At 40.7% G+C, this 22,495-nt stretch overlaps 1 protein-coding gene and 1 pseudogene across 12 annotated transcripts in view, besides 2 other annotated features; both read right to left on the reverse strand.

The window, feature by feature from the left end:
* The window catches only part of SUMF1 (sulfatase modifying factor 1), a 432,784-nt gene that overhangs the window by 372,865 nt on the left and 37,424 nt on the right, over positions 1–22,495 (reverse strand). For all 12 annotated transcript variants that reach the window (XR_007095664.1, XM_017006254.3, XM_017006253.2 and 9 more), the window contains 4 exons: positions 12,714–12,796; positions 10,660–10,782; positions 9,778–9,892; positions 3,515–3,628 (listed from right to left, as the gene is read on the reverse strand). Coding sequence is in view for 11 of the 12 variants with exons in the window: in XM_017006254.3 (XP_016861743.1) it covers positions 3,515–3,628; positions 9,778–9,892; positions 10,660–10,782; positions 12,714–12,796 (435 nt within the window). In the remaining variant the exon portion in view is untranslated. The remainder of the gene's footprint in view (positions 1–3,514; positions 3,629–9,777; positions 9,893–10,659; positions 10,783–12,713; positions 12,797–22,495) is intronic.
* MRPS10P2 (mitochondrial ribosomal protein S10 pseudogene 2) lies at positions 7,210–7,613 on the reverse strand (annotated as a pseudogene).
* Positions 13,965–14,014: a silencer, noted in NCBI's record as "silent region_14015". NCBI's record gives its function as "represses an Ori minimal core promoter by ATAC-STARR-seq in GM12878 lymphoblastoid cells {active_cell/tissue: GM12878}" and the evidence as "EXISTENCE:reporter gene assay evidence [ECO:0000049][PMID:35858748]".
* Positions 19,648–19,747: an enhancer, noted in NCBI's record as "active region_19347". NCBI's record gives its function as "activates an Ori minimal core promoter by ATAC-STARR-seq in GM12878 lymphoblastoid cells {active_cell/tissue: GM12878}" and the evidence as "EXISTENCE:reporter gene assay evidence [ECO:0000049][PMID:35858748]".

The following is a 22,495-nucleotide window of genomic DNA, read 5'->3' on the forward strand; positions in this document are numbered from 1 at the left end:
AAAATTATTTGCCATTATGAGTTAGTCACAGAACTAACATAAATACATAACACAGAAGAGGTCAGTTCCTGAATTGAAATATTTACTAACCACGTGGATATTTTGGTTGTAAACGTTCCCTGAAAATGTCTCTTCTAACCAGCCTCTGCTTATGGAACACATGGAGTCTGGACAGTCACCAAACTCCCCCAATTCCATATATCTGGAATTGGTATTATTGTAGGGTCAATAATTATATACAGGTTCTTTGCTAAGCACTAGAGATACACAGTCCATTAGGGAAGAAAAGCAAATAAATTAAGATCTCAAAGAGAAATAGGACTTAACCAGACCAGATGAGAACTACCACAGCTGTGAAGAATTGCAGGGCTCAAATCCTAGAGAGGTGAAACTGTTTTCCTTAGAGATCTATTGCCTCAAATGGCAGATGTAAGGCTGAGAAGCTGAGCAGAACTTTCAATAGACTCATGGCCTGAGGATATAAAAAATTGGAGTTTAAGGCCCTCCAAGGTGGAGGATCTATGGTAAAACCCCTAGACTTTTGGTTGGCACCCTGAAGAACTATACCCAGGGGGAACTGGAAATAGACTGGCCATTACAGGGACTGAAGCTCTGCTTCAAATCATCTCAATTCCTGACTAGATTAAAGCTAATCTGAAATAGAAGTTTCTAGAAGCAAAGGTAAATCCTTTCCAGAGACACATCACACTATCTAGATCTCAACCTCCACAATTTTTCACATAAAATGTCTGCTAGTCAGCCAAAACTAACCAGGCATGTGAGAAAACAAGACATGACTGAAAGCCAAGAACAACAGAAACAGATCAACATGGTGGCCAGATATTAGAGTTATCAGACAAACGTTTAAAAATGATGACTGAAAAACACAGTGAAACAGCCCTGCACACTGACCAGAGCACCTTAAATAAAACATATTGACGATATCAAGCATTGATGAGAAGAACAGTTTTTGTTCTTTTTCTTTGGCTAAAAGAGAAAGTAAACACAGTAAACTGTTAACATTATGTAGTAGGTACACAGTTATCTATTACACTATTTTCTGTACTATTCTGAATTTTTGTAACACTTCATAATTAACTGTTTAAAAAAGAAAAAAAAGATGTGGCTAGAGGGATCAGCAAGGGTTAAATTATGTTAGCCTTCAGAAGTCATGTGCAAGAATTTATACTTAATCAGCCAGGTGCAGTGTCCCACATCTGTACTCCCAGCACTTTAGGAGGCCAAGGTGTGAGGATTGCTTGAGGCGAGGAGTTCGAGACCAGCCTGTGTAACAGAGCAAGACCCCATCTCCACAAAAATTAAAAATAAAAGTAACAAGACCTGGCGTGGTGGCTCACACCTGTAATCCCAGAACTTTGGGGGGACAAGGCGGGTAGATCACCTGAGGTCAGGTGTTTGAGACCAGTCTGGCCAAAATGGCGAAACCCCGTTTCTACTAAAAATACAAAAATTAGCTGGGGGGCACCTGTAATCCCAGCTACTTGGGAGGCTGAGGCATGAGAATCGATTGAACACGGGAGGCAGAGGCTGCAGTGAGCTGAGATCACGCCACTGCACTCCAGCCTGAGGGATAGAGCGAGACTCTCTCAAAAAATAAAAATTAAAAAAAAAGATAAAAGTAATTAAGTTTTTAAAAAATATTTTACACTTTATTCTTTGGATAATAAGAAGGCATTAAAGGATTTTAAACAGGGGAGTGACCTCATGTGACTTGCTCTCTATATAGATCAGTCTAGTCACAATGTGGCAAAGAGAGGGAAGGCAGGGAGCCCTCTGGGAGGCTGCTGCAGTAACCCAGATGAGGGATGATCATGGCTTTTCTGCTGGCAATGAAGAAAAGCTATAAAGACCTGAATTATGGAGTATGAATTGTCTAAGGATTTGGGGTTTAGTTCTCAAAACTGTTAAATTATATCCCAGTCAAATGAGGAAGCAAAGGAGGCCACTGGGACAAAGAGAAACCTAAAATGAGAACAATTTCATTAGAGCAAGGGCAACATCCAGGATAAAGCCTGGGATTGGTGAAAAGAAAAATGTGAATTTTTCTGTAAATCCTTAGAAGAAACACAAGTAGCTCTAAAACTGAAAGCTAACAAGCGCTCAGCTCCACACCAGATGGTCAGATAGATACATTCACAACTTGCCAGCATTCTAAGGCCTTGTGCACCCCCTTCCAAGCATGCAGATGCTTTTATCTGAGATGAAAAAAATTCTATTTCTGATTCTGACAGCAAATGCCAAGTCACATCTTGCCGGTAGAGAATGACATCTCCCAACCACAAACCCACCTAGAATTTTACAACCTTATTCTCATTTTGACCACTACTTCCACCAGCCCCGCTGGAAAGTAAAAGAAACTGAGGAGGGATGACGGCTTCTAAAGAACTCAGCTTTTTTATCTGCAGCCCTCAAAAAGTAGATCTGTTTTCTCTAGATTATTCATGAGCAGCCCATGTGTTATTCTGTGAAGAAAAATTAAGCATATCCAACAACTTTATTCCCGTATTCTGAAAAATGAGCCTCAGGCAGAGTCTATTTCTTCAATTGCTCTGTAATCCTATATTGAGAAGATATTGAAGAATTAATTTTCTTTATCATTACCCTTTGAGCCTTTTCAAAAAGTTCAGGTTTAAAATTAAGCACATCAAGTAACCAGTCTAGCTAGTTTGGTTATAAATATACATTCTTGGAACTGACTTATGAATGACTACTTTGCTAGAGATGGGATTTTGCATGATATTCTCCCCCCCAATCTGTTCACACCATAAAAAATATTCAGAGATGTTCTTTTTAAAGGAAGCACTTTCCACACACATGTCCATGTAGTGTCTCAATTTGTATACATTCTGCTGGGGTAGCTTGGTTTTAGAGGCAGGGTAGTATACTATTTGCATTCAACATTTTTCACATGCCAGAATAAGTAAAACTTGGACAAACATGGTTGCCTTCTGTTCCTAAGTTATAAGGTGCATCGGTCTGACATACTAAGAGGTTCAGGAATTAATCACTAAATGACACAACTTCCTGCTTCAACATTTAACCAGAAAACACCCTTTCTCTTTCTCTCCAAACAATGCTGCTGAATCAAAATTTCAACCCATCAGAACTCAGGCAACTAGAGGCATGATAAATACCACCTAGCAGATCTTAATAGTTCATAATAAAACAGTAATAAACTTTATAGTTATTTATATATCATGCATGCTTTGATCAAATTTACGAGACTGAATACAATTTCTAAAGTTATAGGCAGATTTCCTCAAATAGTTATCACCATCACAATCCAGGAAAAGATAACATGCTCACAGACATTTTTACAAAATGCTCTGAGGTTGAAATAAGAAACATGCGCTTAATGTGCCTTTAGGGAAATCCCAAGATTAATTTCCAGAGTATGTAAATACCCCTCGGAAACACATGACAGCCTGGCTGCAGACTGCCCAGAGGACAGATGCCACCATTCCAAGACACATGCTCTGTGAATAATACTCACTGGGTTAAGCGTTTCTTCAACAGAATGATGAACAGTCCACCAGTCTGAAGTCCATTCCCATGCGTTCCCCACTATGTTGTATAAGCCATAACCATTGGGAGGGAAGGCATCAACCTAAAAACAAAGACAGGAAAAATGCTGTCAAACTATTCACCTGGTTTAAAAAACATCTTCAGTGCAGAAATGCAGCAAGAGCTTTAATTTCAGAGTATGAATGTTGGGTTTTATTCCAACAGTCAAAGTACAATTTGACCAACATAAAGACAAAGAAAGGGGCATTTTTTTTTTGGCTTTGAGCTCTTAGAGGAATTCAGAAACCTAAAGAGAGTTCATATTAAATGGTATGAAAGTCAGAGAAATTATTCCTAATAGAGTTACTAATATTATCATCAATCAAAAATTTGTGTCAAACATTGGGTGAGTAGGGAGAGGATAGATGATACTTAGACTTTCAAAATCATTCACAGGAAAATCCCATTGGACCCAATATGAGTCTTGTCATCACAGCTCAGCTTTCCTGGCCACACAATGTCTTTCAGCACTGAGCGACCCCAAGTCAGTTAGCTCTGTCCTCTCCACAAGTTTCTGCCAACTCATCATCTTACCTTAAGCCTCAAAACTTAAGGGGATTTCTTTTTATAAAGAAAATGTGAATCCATTATCAAGTGTATTGGTAATACAGGGTTTTCAGTCTCTGAAACCTGAGTCTGAGGCAAACAGTATGCATTCTTCAGCAGAAAATTATACATTTCAAAGGCAGGTCAGACAGTCTGCCACATAATACTGTCACAAACACAGGACCAAAGTGCAGAGTTTTTATAAAAGGGGGGAGAGCAGGAGGAAAAAAAAAAAAAAAAAACTTTAACTGAACAATAATAAATGCAGAATAGTTTTGCTGGCTTAATGGCTTAACATTTTTCCCAACATTTTAAAATGGAAATTCTCAAACATAAAGAAAAATTTCATTTTTAAAATGAAAAAAATATATATGTATATCAAGTAATCCTTGGGGGTTTAAAAATCTTTTTGTAAATCCATGCTTTTTCCAGACTAAATGAAGTAGAATGGAAGGAATGAATAAACTAAAATTCATTCCCTGTGGCTTCAGATGGTTTCACATCTACCCATGAATATGGAAGCATCTGATGCTTGGGCAATTCAGAGCACTCCAATCAAAGTCACGAAGCTAGTGTGAAAAGAACTTAATCTGGATGAGTTGGAAAGCTGAAAATTCTCACCACACTGCTTCCAAAATCAGCAATCATTATGGAAACAGCAGTATTTATTCATTGATTCATTCAGTAATTCCATGCACAGTGACTAAAGACAGTGAGGGCTTCAATAACAAATAATGAATGACCTCAACTAGTTTAATGAGGGAGAAAAAAAGAATATACCCAAAACTCAAAATCCAACTCTGAAATGCAGAATGGGATGAGTAGGGTAAGAGAGGGAAATAAAATGTCAGAGAAACTCGCAAGAGAGAGAAGCTTCTGGCTGAAGGCATTCTCCTTTACAAAAGTAGAGTTGTCTGGGCAGATTTCAAATAGGGCTCAGAGTTCAAAAGAGAACGAAGAGGCCACAGGCATAAACAACTTTTTCAACAATTTGGAGATGATCAAAAAGAGCATGGTAGAGTAATAGCTGGGAGAGGTAGGAAGGAAAAGAAGAAATTCAGTTATTTCAGGAATACAAGGAAAGGAGCCAGAGGAGCAAGTGCGGTTAAAAGATGAAACAGGCCAGGTGCCGTGGCTCATGCCTGTAATCCTAGCACTTTGGGAGGCCAAGGTGAGCAGATCACCTGGGGTCAAGAGTTCAAGACTAGCCTGGCCAACATGGTCAAACCCTGTCTCTACTAAAAATACCAAAAAAATTAGCCAGGCAGGTGCATGGTGCACGCCTGTAATCCCAGCTACTCAGGAGGCTGAGGTAGGAGAATTGCTAAACCCAGGAGGCAGAGGTTGCAGTGAGCCAAGATGGCACCACTGCACTCCAGGCTGGGTGACACAGCGAGATTACGTCTCAAACAAACAAACAAAAACAGATGAAACAAACACTGGAGGAAGGAATCATTTTCCAGACTTATAGAGCACAGGTGGAGGTGCTCTCAAATCAGTCTGCCTGAGGTCCTATGTGTGCATCAATACTATTTTTTTTTTAGACAGGGTCTTGCTCTGTCACCCAGACTGGAGTACAGTGATGCAATCACAGCTCACTGCAACCTCAACGTCCCAGGCTCAAGCGATCCTCTCAGCTCAGCCTCCCGAGTAGCTGGGACCACAGGTGTGCACCACCACAACCGACTAATTTTTGGAATTTTTTGTAGACATGGGGTCTCCTCATGTTGCCCAGGCTGGTCTTGAACTCTTAGGCTCAAACAAACCTCTTGTCTCAGCCTTCCGAAGTGCTGGGATTATAAGCATGAGGCACCAGACCCAGTGACACCAACAGTTAACAGCTAACACTAGGCAAGCAACTTAACCTATATGGGTGCTATTTTGTCTGTAAAATGGGAAAAATAATAGTACCTACTCAAGGGTTTGGGTATTTTTTTCTTTACCCACCTTAAATAATTTGATGTTTAAGTGAAGTAGAATGTGGAGGTCACCACCCCTAAAATTACCATAGGTGAGTATGCCACTAAGGAAAATAAAAATGTTAACTGCCTGCTATTAAACCAATCTACTAACTAAAGCTTCCTCTCAGGAACCTCAAAAGCAAACAAATGTATATGAGAATACTCCTGGCACATTTTCAGATGAATAAGCTGATATGCGTTAAAGCCAAAATTAATCATTGTGTAACAAGCAGAATGGCAAAATGTAAATTCTTTAGTCTCACTGTGGTCAAAATAGTTTGCTCAGTATAAAATCAGGTCTAGCTGGGTGTGGTGGTTCATGCCAGTAATCCCAGCACTTTGGGAGGCTGAGGAAAAAGGATAGCTTGAGGACAGGAGTTCAAGACCAATCTGGGAAACACAATGAGACCTCACCTCCACAAAAAAAAAATTTTTTTTTAAGATAGAGTCTCACTCTGTCACCCAGGCTGGAGTGCAGTGGCCTGATCTTGGCTCACTGCAATCTCTGCCTCCTGGGTTCAAGCAATTCTCCTGCCTCAGCCTCCTGAGTAGCTGGGATTACAGGTGCATGCTGCCACGCCCGGCTAATTTTTCTGTATTTTAGTAGAGACGGGGTTTCACTGTGTTTCCCAGTCTGGTCTCAAAATCCTGAGCTCAGGCAATCCACCTGCCTCAGACTCCCAAAGTGCTGGGATTACAGGCATGAGCCACCGCACCTGGCCCCAAACAAATTTTTAAATTAGCTGGGCATGATGGTGTGCACCTGTAGTCCCAGCTACTTGGAAGGCTGGGGTGGAAAAATCACTTGAGCCCAGGAGGCTGAGGTTGCAGTAAGCTGTGATCATGCCACTGCACTCCAGCCTGGGCAACAGAGCAGGACCCTGTCTCAAATAAATAAAATGAGACCTGAAATAATAAATACATGAAATATCAGGTCAGGGAGCTATTTCCCTGTAGTCCATCTCATTATCAAAGTTAAATTCCTGCTCCAGTTGACCAGAGCATGTGGACACAAAAGAGCAGCTTAGGTGGACTTGAGATACTACGTGTAAACGATTGCCATAAGATAGAGATCTCATTAAGACTCATTCTAAACACAGATGGCAGCTGTCTCTCTCTGGCTGGCTTGCTTGCTTTCTCCTCTAGTCCTGTTTGTCAAATTGGTTCCTTTAGGACTCCCAGTAAATGTTCTAATCTGTTTTAGTAACTTCCATGGCAACTTCTTCAGGTCAATTTCCCACACATATGCTGAACTTTCAGTCAAATATTCCAATTCTAAACATCTGTAGAGTGTCCTTATTTCATATTGAACATTGTATTTTTTGAAAAGGTACACTGATTTTAGAAGAGTAAATGGCTCTATATTCCTTGGTAGCTCATGTAATTAAATAGAAAAGAAACTGTAGCTGCAAGTGCTGTCAAATATGCATAACTGTCCAAGAAAACCCTGTCATGGCCTTTTGTTAAAATGAACAGGCACTTATATCATTCGTTTGGTTCATCAAAAATGCTTATCACAGGCCAGGCGCAGTGGCTCATGCCTGTAATCCCAGCATTTTGGGAGGTCAAGGCGGGAGGATCACCTACCAGCCTGGCCAACATGGCGAAATCCTGTCTCTACTAAAAATACAAAAGTTAGTCAGATATTGTGGTGCACAGCTATAATCCTAGCTACTAAGGAGGCTGAGGCAGGAGAATCACTTGAACCCAGGAGGCGGAGGTTGGAGTGAGCCACGATCACGCCACTGCACTCCAGCCTCGGCAACAGAGTAAGACTCCATCTCAAAAAAAAAAAAAAAAAAACAGACAGAAAAATAAAAGAAATGATTATCACGGTCTTGTCCAAATGAGGGCCACAAAAGCCATCACCTGTGTCTTTGGAATGGAGCTCATTTCAAATGAGCATATGATTATGCCAACAAAAGAATGGTGAGAAAGGAACTCTTGTACACCCATAAAGGAAAACATGCCCCAAGTGTTCTGGAAAATAATTCAACCATATATCTGAAACTCTTACCAAGAAAAGTTTTCTAACCTTTGACTCAATCATTTCACTGCTGGGAATCTATCTTTAAAAAATCATCAAAGGGCCAGGTGCGGTGGCTCATGCCTATAATCCCAACACTTTGGGAGGCTGAGGCGGGAGGATCGCCTGAAGTCAGGAGTTCAAGACCAGCCTGGCCAACATGGTAAAACCCTGTCTCTACTAAAAATACAAAAATTAGCCAGGTGTGGTGGTGTGCACCTGTAGTCCCAGCTACTCGGGAGGTTGAAATGGGAGAATTGGTTGAACCCAGGAGACAGAGGTTGCAGTGAGCCAAGATTACACCACTGCACTACAGCCTGAGTGACAGAGTGAGACTCCATCTCAAAAATAAATAAATAAATAAGTAAATAAAATGGCTCAAGGTTGAAGTGAGTGCTCTTTTGCCCGCCTTCTGCCTTCTGCCAGGGGAGGACACAGCATTAGTCCCTTCTGGTGGATGCAGCCGACATCAATCATGCTGCTGCCTTGGTCTTAGACTTCCCAGCCTCCAGAATTGCAAGAAATAAATTTCTGTTGTTTACAAATTATCCAGTCTGTAGTATTTTCTTACAGTAGCACAAAGGGACTAAGACTAAGACATGGCTTTATGAGTATATGATTATGCCAGCAAAAGAACGGTGAGAAAAGATTTCTTATACACCAATAGAGGAAAACATGCCCCAAGCATTCTGGAAAACAGTTTGGCCATATATCTGAAACTCTTACCCAGAAAGTTTTCTAGACTTTGAATTATTTCACTGCTGGGAATCTAATCTATCTTTCAAAAATCATCAAAGACGTAGGTTAATATTTATGTACAAGATGTTCACTGTAGAAAAAAAAAACAGAAATAACCTGTTTCCAGTAAATACATTGGGGTTTATTTATGACAGGTTATCCAGCTGCTGAAAGACAATGTATTTGTGGCATACTGCTAATGACAGATGAAACGTTTCTGATATAGGCAGGAAAAAATAGTAGGATTTTAAATACTGTATCCAGTCTTACCTAAATGCAATATGTAAAAAAATATGATACATATACACCAGAAACACATATGCTGGCAAATACGGTAGTTAAGAGCATGGGCTTTGGAAATAAACCGACCTGGTTCAAATTCCAGCTGTGCCGCTTTCCAGCTGTGTAACCTTGAGCAAGTTAGTTAACCTCTCTGTGCCTCAGAATGCTCACCTGGAAAATGGGGATAATAGTACCTACCTTACAGAGTTGAATGGACAGTAAATGAGACAATTCATGCAAATGCCTTGGCGCACAATGCCCAGCACATTGCAAGCACTCAATAACTACACGCCATTATTAGCATCATCAACACAGAGAACAAATGGGGAAGAAATGCACCAATATGCTAACAGGTATTATTTCTGGGTGGTAGAATTCCAGGACAGTTTAGCTTTCTCCTTTATAGTCTTCTCATTTTTCCAAATAATCTACAGTAAGTATTATGGAATCAGAAAGGGAAATCCATTATACAAAAAGAAAATCTGTTTAATTATTAGTATTTGCTACGTGCAACAGTGAATGCATACACGAAGGGAACACCGTGTGAGTCACAAAGTGAGCAATGCCTTTCACCCCATGTCTACTGGGAGCCTCAGTTCTCAGCAGCTGCCACCCTCCTGCAGAGGTCTCATTACTCACAGGCGCAGTTCCTTGGAAGCCATCCTCACCAGTGTTGGTCACCGGAAACTCGCCCTGCCAAATGTTGGCATAATGCTGGCCTTTGGGCTGCAGTTTGTTGCCCCAGGGGAAAAGTCTGTCAGAAGAGACACAGGCATCAGCCTGTCAAACAGGCACAGGTTTTGGATGAAAGTCAAGAGAAGGGATGCAATGAAAAAGAGAACATTGCTTGCTTGTTCTGAGTGAGCCAGTTAAAATATATATATAAATAAATAAAGCTTTTAATCAGGATTTATTTTCAATTTCCTTATAACTTCTCATGTCACGTCCACAACAGCCTCAGTCTTGCCCAGGTACTCAGGAGGCCTGAAATAAATCACAAAACTAAAAGAAGGACTTATAGAAAGCTGGGAGAGTAGACCTCATTTTGGACTTATATGGTAGTGTGATCAGGCACCACCACACCACACTTTTTTATAAAGCCTGGGCTATTTTAAGGAGCCTTTCCTAGAAGATGTGAACCCAACATGAGTTTTCTGTCTCATGGCTCTAGAAGCAGAGACATACCGCTGCTTCAGGAGATGCCTAAAATAAGAAAATGCTAAAAGCAGGGCAGTCTGCCAAGAAGTTCTAAGCAGTGATATGTAACTCAAGGGGGTTGAATTGCTAAGACTTGCTTTGGGGCTGGAGGGAGCCCACTTGGCCAGACACTTGGTTTAGGGGTGATAAAAGATTTGTGACCCATTCTCCAGTGTCTTCTAAGTAATTTCGTGGAAAAATAAGAAAAAGAATTATTGTCGTTATTAACTTTCTAACCAAAGTAAGTTCCATGGAGTTTTTTGTTGTTGTTTGTTTGTTCAAATGACCAACATATTGTCAGGCAAAATGAGATCCTCTAAATACCTATTATGCAGGCCTCCTCGACAGCTGTATTCCCACTCAGCTTCCGTGGGCAGCCGCTTCCCTGCCCAAGTGCAGTAGGCAACCGCATCATTCCAGGACACATGGAGAACTGGATGATCCGGCCTGGGGAAGAGCAAAAGTAGAATGAAAAGTGACACCAATCAGAACAAGAAGCAGGAGCTGGCTTCAGCAAAGCGCCCATAATCCCCCTCAGTTCAATCTGTGACACTGAGGTCATCCTGGTCCTTAAGTCAAACCCCAGCCATGCTACATCTGTCATGCTCCACCAACGGTTTCTGACAACCCAGGCTCCCAAATGGGTTACAGTTCCACTGGGAACTAGACTCAAAACATTTCTTCACTTTGTAGGCTCGGATTCCCACAGAATGTCATTGGTATGGCAGATGCGGAGATACTCCAGCTGCTAGGAGGGCCAGCAGGAGCTTTCAGCTCCTTTGGGGTTCAGCAGAGCTGACAGCCATCTCAGAGAAACCAGTGACTAACCAACCACAGCAGGGGCATACAGAGCCAGCCATTTCAGCCTACAGTGGCTCAACCTATGGGCCATATACACCCTAGAGGCCCCTGTGTTGGGTGGAGCTTGGTTGGACCTGCATTGTGGCTTTGACTTCTCCCTCTGCCCAGTCCTGCTCTGGCCCCTGCTTTCTACAGGTGTGGGGCCCTAACATTCTGCATCCTAAACTCTGTTTCAGCCTCTGTTTCCAGAGAACCCAACCTGTGACCCTTGGCTTTCAATTCTGTGTCTTTCTACTTTTCCTCTACAAGAGGCCGGTCTTTTTTTCCTGAGGGTATAAAGGGTGTGGAAGTTTGGGGAAAAAAAACTGAGAAAAAGGGGATAGACTCATTCACCCAGCACTAGATGGCTTTGGCTGAATTCCCTGCTCACTTTTTTAAAAGTGGGCTACAAATTCCTAGTCCATTCCTTATACACCTTTGAATTCCCCACAGTAATTACACCAGGCCTTTCATTTATTCTTTCAACAAACATCTACTGAGTACCTATCATGTGCCAGTCACTGTTTCCAGCACAGACAACAGAGGTACTCTTCTCAGAAGATCCATCGGTGTTGACTGCATGGATAACATACATTCCCCTTTTGGGTTTTCCTTCCTCCCTTAGCATTTTCCTCTGTTACTAAATTCAGGAAAGCAGATATTAACTGGGAGCTAAGAAGCCAAGTCCACCTGAGAAACCCAGGAATCCTATGACTTTCCACCTCGAAGCCTAATTGCAGCACAGCGGCTTCCAATTGAGGCTTTGAAAGATGTTTGACATTTGTCAAGGGGCTATATCCCTAAAGCTGAACTTCCTATACTCGCAGCTCCCCGACAATAAGGGCAATAACCAGGAATGTTGTTAAAAATAGAGACTTAAAAACTGCATCTGAAAAATTAGGTTAGGAGAGCAGGTTTCTTGGGCTGCTGAGATGCTGAGTCCTAACCCAAACCTTGCTCAATCTCCAGGGTTTAAAGTGTTACTCTATTTTTGCTTGAGATAATTATTTCCTTGCCACCCTGGAGACTTGCTGACCGACTTGGCTCTCTGTGGTTTTCCAGTTAGATGGTGGCTTCAAAGAATTCCAATCTGGAACTCAAGATCATGTGAATCCTATACCCAAGGCCTGGGCTTCCACAGTGGCAACCTGGGAGGACACAATTACTTATCCATAAGACAGACGTCTTCTTCCTCATAGACCCGCTAATAATGGAAACAGAATGTAAAGATTAAACATGTCATGAGGTTTGGAATAGGCCTCTCAAAAGGAGCAGGGAAACTGGGAAGAGGCAACTCTTTGACAAGCCAAATGAGGAGAGAAAGAGGCCACTAATTAAGAGCTTTCTTATGAGCAAGGTGCAGTGTTTGGGTCTTTACATACGTTATTTCCCACCATCTTATTTTCCTACCAATCAATTACAGTTTGTCATTCTTATCATTTTATAGATGAAGATGCCCACTGAGTTCTTTTGCAAGAGCAAAGGGTACCTATTTTGCAATGGAACTTGTCAACTGGGGAAAGAGGGACCAGCCTCACCTGTGCAGAATAGTAGAGTCAGGCCCTTCTGGGTGTCTCCAGTTAGCGCCTTTCACAGGTAACCACCAGGGAGCAGCTGCAACCTCAAAGCAACCCAGAACAGGCTGATGTTAGCTACTAACATCAACTCTAGAAAAATATCAACTCAGTACATGCAGCAAAAATCTCAATGTCTTCAACTTCCATTTGGATTACCAAACAAATACATTTGCCAGAATACCAAAATAAAGACTTATATGTAAATAAATCTTTAACAAAAAAAGTATTACTTCATATCATAAAGCCTCACAGCAAACAAATACATATGTATTTAAATGGTGTATATCTATAAGAATTTTTTTTTTTTTTTTGAGATGGAGTCTCGCTCTGTCGCCCAGGCTGGAGTGCAGGGGTTGCAATCTTGGCTCACTGCAACCTCCGCCTCCCAGGTTCAACCGATTCTCCTGCCTCAGCTTCCCGAGTAGCTGGGACTACAGGCACGTGCCAGCAAGCCCAGCGAATTTTTTGTATTTTTACTAGAGACAGGGTTTCACTCTGTTAGCCAGGATGGTCTCGATCTCCTGACCTTGTGATCCGCCCGCCTCGGCCTCCCAAAGTGCTGGGATTACAGGAGTGAGCCACCACACCCGGCCTCTGTAAGAATTTTTAAAAAGTGCATGGCTAGCCAATCCTCTATAATCTCTAACAAGTGAGACAGGTAGTGCTGCTCCTATTTAAAAGATGAGGAAACAGAGTTAACCCTACAATTAAATGTGAGGCTAAAGGTCAACCATGGTGGTCAGAGATCAAGCTGAAGCACAGAAGAAAAAATGGGGTGTATTTTCAAAAGACCCCGATTCAACTTCCAACCCAACATTAGCTGGGTGACCCTGGGCAAGTTCACTACTTGTCTGGACCCTCCTAGTCCTTGTCTGTGAAATGGGAGCACACCCACCTGCCTCACCTAACTCAGAATACAGAGGTCAAGTGAGGTAAGATTGGAAAATGCTCAGCAAACAGTAACTAGAACCTTAACTCCTACTTTATGGTTCTGTTAACCAAAATAACAACAGTCAGGAGTCCTCATTTAGTGAGTGGTTTAGTTAGGAACACAGGCTTTGGAGCCAGTCAAAATGAGATTTGAATCATGGCTCTGCTGTTCACGGTGTGACCCTAGGCAACTTATTTAACCTCTTTCCCCAAGCCTGTTTTCTCATGTGGGGATACAGATAGTAACAGCACCTATATCTTGGGTTATTACAAGGAGGAAATATAATACGCATACAGGACTTATGACTATGCCCTTAGCAACTGAGGTTAATGACTCAGCAAGCACTCAGTAAAGGGAACCAGTCTCACTATGGCCCCATGACACTCAGTCACAAGGAGAGCCACAAAAACTAATCATTGTTGCTAATACTAGCTAAAGAACAGATGTTGCAAATGATTCTTTTTGAGACAGGGTCTCACCCTGTCCCCTAGGCTGGAGAACAGTGGCACGGTCATGGCTCACTGCAGCCTTGACCTCCTCAGCTCAAGTGATCCTCCCGCCTCACCATCCCAAGTACCTGGGACCACAGGTGTGCGCCACAATGCCCAGCTAAATTTTTTGTATTTTTTTGTAGAGATGGGGTTTTGCCATGTTGCCCAGGCTGGTCTTGAACTACTGGGCTCCAGTGATCCCTGCCCAACTTGGCCTCCCAAGGTGCTGGGATTACAGGTGTAAGCTACTGCACCTGGCCTGCAAATGATTCTTCTAATACAAATACAAATACAAAAGAAAGTGACTCAAGGTTATCCCCACAACAATGTTACTCTTTGATTGTTTTCATCCTTTTGAGCTTGTCTGAGTAGAAGTTAAGGGAGAATATGTCCCTGCTAACAATTACAGCAATCACTGAAAACACCAAGCCCCATTCTTGTTCATTCTCTTTTCACATCAACACAATCAGAACATTCATGATATCTCAATCACAATTTGATGGGAAAACCCAATTTTTAAAATATTTCAACAAAAGAAGGCATTAGGTCCTTAAATGACACTATAGCAAGGTGTTTTATTTTACAGAGAACAGGGGAGTGAAGAGGCATGGCTTCTTTCTATTTCATTTGTGGCGCTGTAGAAGTTCCTCTGGGGGCTGTTCTCACTGACTGGGCTGTGCAGGTTTAGGTGCCCATGACAGGTAATTCATTCAGTGTCAAGGGAGGAGCTGCAGTGAAAGCTCAGGTCAGCCCACACTTGTGTTTCAGGAGGATCCTCAGATCATTCTTCCAACTCTACCCTGTCCCCAACACTAAGCACCACCACCAGAAGGTTCTAGTTCTTAAATTAAAAAATAAAAATAAAAAAGCTTAAAAGAATGACAAAATATAGCAATATGTTAACCTCCATGAATGACTTTTCTTCTCATACCCTTTTGTGTCTTAAAATATTTCATCATTAGTGATTTAAAAAAAAAAAAAAACATGATTTGTTTGTCCATTCTACTACTAATGGGTATTTGGGTAGTTTCCAGTTTGGGGCTATTATGAATAGTACTGCTTCTATCAATATTCTTAAAAGAGTTTGTGGCTTTTGGCAAATATATGTACGCATTTCTGCCGACAGTACATGGTGGAGTGGAACAGCTGAGTCCTAGAATACACATGTGCACAGCTTTAGTAGAGGCAAACACAAGCCTTAAACAGGAGAAGGCCCCTGCCATTTCCTACCCTCTTTTCTTCCTTTTTTTTTTTAAAAAAAATTATGTATTTATTTTTTAACTTTTTATTTCCATAGGTTTCTGAGGAACAGGTGGTATTTGGTTACATGTGTAAGTGCTTTGGTGGTGATTTGTGAGATTTTGGTGCACCCATCTCCTAAGCAGTATACACTGAACCCAATTTGTAGTCTTTTATCACTTCCCCTGAGTCCCCAAAGTCCGTTGTGCCATTCTTATGCCTTTGCATCCTCATAGCTTAGCTCCCACTTATAAGTGAGAACATATGTTGTTTGGTTTTCCATTCCTGAGTTACTTCACTTAGAATAATGGAAAGAGCGTGGAGATTCCCTAAGGAACTAAAAGTAGAACTACCACTTGATCCAGCAATCCCACTACTGGGTATCTACCCAGAGGAAGTCATTACATGAAAAAGATACTTGCACACACATGTTTATAGCAGCATAATTCACAATTGCAAAAATGTGGAACCAACCCAAATGCCCACCAATCAACAAGTGAATAAAGAAACTGTGATACACACACACACACACACACACACACACACACACACAATGGAATACTACTCAGCCATAAAAGAATGAATTAACGGCATTCACAGCAACCTGGATGGGATTGGAGCCTACCCCTTTTTCAAAGGGGAGCTTTCCCTCAAGTCAGTTTATGTATAGAAGTCCCTAGGGCTTCTCTCTAGTGACCTCTCAGCCCATACTCTTCTACTCTCCTTTTCCTCTCAATTCAATCTGGTTACAAATGTTTATTGAGCACCGACTGTATGGCTAGCACTGAACCTGATTCTTGGAGGGGATCTACAAGTCCCAGGAATCCTCAGAGTATGACTGAAGACAATTGGTATATTAAATAGTTTTAAAAGTATTTATTTTACATATAATAATTGATATAGTTTATATATTTATCCCCACTCAAATCTCATGTTGAAATATTAATATAATCCCCAATATTGGAGGTGGCGCCTGGTGGGAGGTCTTTGGATCACTGGGGCAGAACCCTTATGAATTGCTTGGGCCGTCCCCTTGGTGATGAGTGAGCTCTCACTGTGTCACAGGAGATCTGGTCAAAAGTGTATGGCGCCTCCCTCCACCTCACTCTCTTGCTCCTGCTTTCACCATGTGAAGCGCCTGCTCCCACTTCGTCTTCTGCCATGATCGAAAGGCCTGAGGCCTCCCCAAAAGCTGATACCAGAGCTACGTTTCCTGTATAGCCTGCAAAACCATGAGCCAAACAGACCTCTTTCTTTATGAACTACCCAGCCTCAGGTATTTCTTTATAGCAATTGCAGGAACAGCTTAATACAAAAATTAATTCCTCAGTTGCAATAATTGGCATAGAAAATGTGCAATTAGTCATCTCATTTTCCTTGATAAATGTCTCTAAAATTCAAATTGATGGGTCCAGATATCACCCTACACATATTAGTACTATAGTTTTTTTATCTCCTTCCACCCGCTACCCCACCCTCTGCTATACACACACCTACTCACTCACACTTTCTCTCATTCTAGACACCCGCTTTTCTTTTTTCCCAGCAACTATTCTTTCTGAAATCTTTCATGCTACCCTAGCAACCCAAAACACACTACTTACTTAACGTCATGGAGCTATATGATGATCACCAATCTCAATGAGGTGCACGGTAAGATGGAAAAAACACGTGAACACACTGTGGCCAAAGCATGAGAAAGAGGACACCACGACAACACTATCCTTGACCAAAGGCCGCAACCTAGTGTTTTGGTCCAAAATAGTAAGACCTGAAGCAAGTATGCAAAGATATATGTATAGTAAATCTAGACATAATATAGTTTCTAACTTAAAATTACAAAATAACCCAACTGTCCTTGGTGTCCATGAAAAAAGGAATACTATACGGCTAGTTATCAAAATACACTCTGACATGGAAATATGAAAATAATATACTGTCATAAAGGTAACCTATAGAATACACATTTGATTCCGTTTCTATAAAATGTATGCATAACAATGTTTGTTAGTATCATCAGGAAAAAAATGTCTGGAAGAATATACATAAACTTAACATAAGCGAAGGATCAGGAGAGTACTATTAGACATTTTTAGAATGAGTGTATGTCACTATCACAGGTTTTCTCAACCTCAGCACTGCTGCTATTTTAGGCCAAATACCTTGTTATGGGAGACTGTCTTATGTATTGCAGGATGTTTAGCAGTGTCTCTGACCTCTACCCACCAGATGCCAGTTGCATCCTTCTTCTCCCATGCCAACTGCGGCAGACAAAAATGTCTCCAGACATTGCTAAATGTCCTCTGAGGAGAGCAAATTATCTACTGTATTATGATAATTAGGGAAAAAAAGATTACTCTTCTTAAATATTAATACACAGTTTATAGTAGCATAGTGGTAAGAGTATCTGACCCTGGAGTCAAGCTGCCTAAGCTTGAACAACAGTATCACCTTTTACAAGCTACAAGATCTTCAGCTGCTTATTTAACCCCTTCAGGCCTCAGCTTACTCATCTGCAAAGTGGGGATAAAATAATACTATCTACTTCCTGGGGATGTTATAAGGATTAAATTTAAAAATACATGTAAAGTGCTTAGAAAAGTACCTGGTACAGAGTATTAGCTGTCATTATTACTACTATTCATTTATGTTATTACATGTTACAATATTCTCTTAGAGCTTTCAGAGAACATATATTCTAATTAGTGAAAATCTACCCCCATATCTGTTCAGCTTGAGCCCCCTCCACCCACCAGTTCACCCTTTTCAGAGTACTGATCAACTGAGAAAAGTGACCAAGAGCTAAGGGGTGAAGGAAGTATTGGAACATGTGTCACTTCCAAAGACTTCTCAAGAAGATGTACCATCTTCCATCACAGTCATGATGTGAGAACCATCTACACATAAACTAACCCACTCTCTAAAGCAAGCAGCACCATGAGGGTAGGGCAAGGGGAGTGTATTAGTCCATTCTCATGCTGCTAATAAAGACATACCTGAAACTGGGTAATTTATAAAGGAAAGAAGTTTAATTGTCTCACATTCCACATGACTGTGGAGGTCTCACAATCATGGCGTGGTGGAAGGTAAAGGGGCAGCAAAGGCACGCCTTACATGGCAGCAGGCAAGAGGGCAAGAGAGCATGTGCAGGGGAACTCCCTTTTATAAAACCATCACCATGTGATCTCAGAGATCACATCAGATCTCATGAGACTTCACTCTCACAAGAACAGTGTGGGAAAAACCCAGCCCCATGATTCAATCACCTACCACCGGGTCCCTCCCATGACACGTAAAGATTATGGGAGCTACAATTCATTCAAGATGAGATTTAGTTGGGGACACAGCCAAACCATATCAGGGAGGGTGTGAGGGGTAAACAGAATACAGGAGGTATCCACATTCCTCAACCTCCAAACTTCAGAAAGCTTGGGCCCCTGTAAGGGAACCAAACTACACACTTGTCTGTCTGTAAGACAGATCATAAGTCACCACTGTGATGGTCAGATGCAGAGTCAGAAACCATTTTCCCATTTCACACATGAAGAAGGAGAGACAAGTAATCAAAGTCACCCCACAACTGAGGACTGACGAAATCAGAGGTAGGGCCTTATTCATCCTGCGCAAGTTTCCCTTGGAATGTCAAATATTTTCTGGTCAAATTTAGGGCAAATCCCATCCAAACTCACTAGACGTTTTCCTTTTCCAAGTGTCACTGTTTCTAAACATTTCAAATAACTTGTTCTTGAACTCCTGATTCTGTCTTGAAAATAAGTGCTATTCTACTAGGTTTAGGAACTTAACAAAACAAACAACTTTTAAGAGTCATATATTAGGCATTTCATCAAGGCTATACTGCAGATTGTGACATCTATAATTCCTTTTAACAGGAATAGTGTTCAGGTGTGTTGTTTACAGAGCAGAAGCAGCAGCATGAGTGGACTGGCATCTATGATAAACCTCAACCTAAAAAGAGACAATTTTTTTTGGATGTGGTTGTCCACCTACACATTCTCTGCTCAACTGAGACAATTTCCAGAGTTACAGCACTCCCTTATATCCAGAGGAAAAAGGACTTTAACATGACCTATTTCTAGTCAACCATCTCCATAGCAACTGTCTAGGGTTTAAGTTGAAACAGCTGTATGAGCCAGCCAGTGACCAATTACAATGTAAATAGGACCCACGTGAGTTTTGAGGTCCCCTTGAGAAATGGACTTCAGAGAGCAAAGACATGTTTCCCACCTCTCCCTGGGGACATAACCAGACTTGTAGTAGCAGCTTAAAGAAAAGGAAACAAGACAGCAAAGGTGCCTTTATTCTTGCCAGAGGTGGCAAATTATGCTTCTTATACACACACAGCCCAGAATAAAATCAGCACAGGAAAAAGAAAGCTCTGTATAATTATGCATACTCAAGTGTAAAGATGTCAAGTGCACAACTTTACAACTGCTCTCTTAAAAATTAAATGCATTTAGACAAGCAAATTTAAAAGATGGACGTTTCTTGAAACGTAGTATAAACATGACAGCTACCCCTATAAAAACAACCCGGGAGAATTTTTCAACTGGCATCAGTGAACAATGAGAAATTACAGATCTGCTCAAATTCATGAAGTATAAATAAAACCAGAGGAGAATTTAGCAACTGAAGGAATTAAATGGAGTAAAGAGCACACAGTAAAAATATTTCCTCAGTACCCAACACAAGTATGGAAAGCTAAGAATGAGGCTTGAATAAAGGCTAAAAACAAATTCATCATGAAAGTAGGTAGTCAAGTCTGACAGCTTACTTCAAATTAAATCCTAAATCAGGTACCCTGATGACTTAATAGACTGCATGGGAGAGAAAAATGCCTGCTTTTTCAAACAGGGTAAAAATATTTATGAAACTTCAGGCAGACTTGAACTTTTCAATACTTTTTGGTTCAGTTCTTAGTGAAATCCCTCATGCTATAATACATTGCATTCCCAAGGCACACAATCAGTAATCAGTACACTCAAAACATTTCATGTCCTTAAGAAAGGAGTGGAAATTCTAGGCAGAATTTCTAGGCACTATTGAGAATGTGCAAAAAATGGCCCAAGGAATCTATGGACTCAAAGAAGCCTTAAAAGTGATCTAGTTTACTCATTTTCAGTTAAGATCTGCATAATTATCAGGGCAGGGGGAACTGATTTGGGGCTTGTAAAAAAAATTAACAAAAATGAGAGAAATATTTCTTATTATTTAAAAACAATTTTTACTCATTTTCATCAAATAAGTAACTGTAAATTGGTATAACCTATCTTGAAAGCAATGTGACAATATTCAGAATCATTTATTTCATACCATTTGAACGAATACATCATAGTCATTAAAAATTATATGCTGAAAAAATAAAATTTGAATAAATGTCTGCCCTTTACTGAAAGTGAAAAAAGCCAGTTACAAAAATGTTTGTACAAATTCAATTAAAAATACATCAATATATAGAGACACCCACCCACATACCCACATATCCCAAGAAAATATTAGCAGAACATATATTTAAATGTTTGTGATGATTATTTCTGGGTGGTGAGATTATGGGTATATCTAATGTTCTTCTTGTGCCTTTTTTTTTCTGGAGAGAGGGTCTTGCTCTGTCACCCAGGTTGGAGTGCAGTGGCACTATCATAGCTCACTGTAACCTTGAACTCCTGAGCTCAAGCAATCCTCCCACCTCAGCCTTACAAGTAGTTAAGACTACAGGCACATGCCACCACACTTGGCTAATTTTTTCAATTTTTGTACAGATGGAGTCTCGCTACATTGCCTAGGCTGGTCTTGAACTCCTGTCCTCAAGCAATCCTCCCAACTCAGCCTCCCAAAGTGCTGGGATTACAGGCATGAGCCACCTCTCTAGGCCCTGTTCCATTTTTAATGTCTGAAACGTCTACAGCGAACATATTTTTTATTCATATTTTCATTTTAGTTTTAGTTTTTTCTTTTAATGGAGCTAAGACTTAATTTTACATTGAAAAAACAAAAGCAATATCAAATTAATGTTCATTAAAAATTACTTATATTCATCATTCCATTACAAATTTTATTTTTATATTCATCTTCCAGCTTCATCAGTAAGCATACACATTTTTACAGTTTTTCCAAATTTTATATTGAATGTTTTCATTGATTTTATTGAATATTTTTCTATGTTTTATCTGAACTTCATAACGATCACTTTCAGTGGCTACCAATATTTTTGTCTTGTCAATACACTATAATTTCCGGTCTCCTAACATTGAACCATTCAGGTTATGTTCAAGTTTGTCTGTTGTTGTTTTTTTGCTATTATAGATAACACTACAGTGAACATGTTCAAACACCTTCATGTACATTTTTTGCTTCTGCTAAATTTCCACAAGTAGCATCACTGTAACCTGAGAGCGTGTCTTTATAGCCCTTGCTAAAAATCATTTACAAAAATCCTCAATATTATTAGATGGTACGGTTAGTTTCCCTCTGGAAAGACATCTGCGTGTACACCCAAGATGAAGGTATTTATTTCAACTCTGTAAGAAGGCTCCACTTAGGTTCCTTACATTGCTAGTAGCTTACTTATAGATCTTTACAGGTCTTTTCCAGTGTCTAAAACAGGGAAATTACAGAAAGTTGGAATGCCATCTGATTGCTTCTATGTTATTTTTTCACGCCTTACAAGCTCTCAAGCTTCTGAGAAGAGAGGTCAAAGAGAAGACAGAACATAGAAAAGGCATTTTAAGAACAGGAAATTCTCCCACACACGTTGTCTTGGAGGTAAACAACAATATAAATAATCTCATTTATTATTTGTAAAAGACAGGAAAAAGAGCATCCTCAAGGGACAGGGGCTCTTGTTGCAAAGGCAGCACAGGGTCACAGCCTGAGATGATCTACTTCCTACTTATATTAACAGTAAGAGACATACACATGCAGATGACCATATAACATCATGGCTCTGTTGCTGGCCCTTCAAACGACAGGCTGGTACTGTACCAGCCAATCTCAGCCCACAGCCACAAGAACACAGAACAAATTCTGAACATTCTGCAGAGCTAATTCCTCAGGCTGCCAGCCTG

Source organism: Homo sapiens, chromosome 3 (assembly GCF_000001405.40).
Source record: "Homo sapiens chromosome 3, GRCh38.p14 Primary Assembly".
Lineage (NCBI taxonomy): Eukaryota > Metazoa > Chordata > Mammalia > Primates > Hominidae > Homo > Homo sapiens.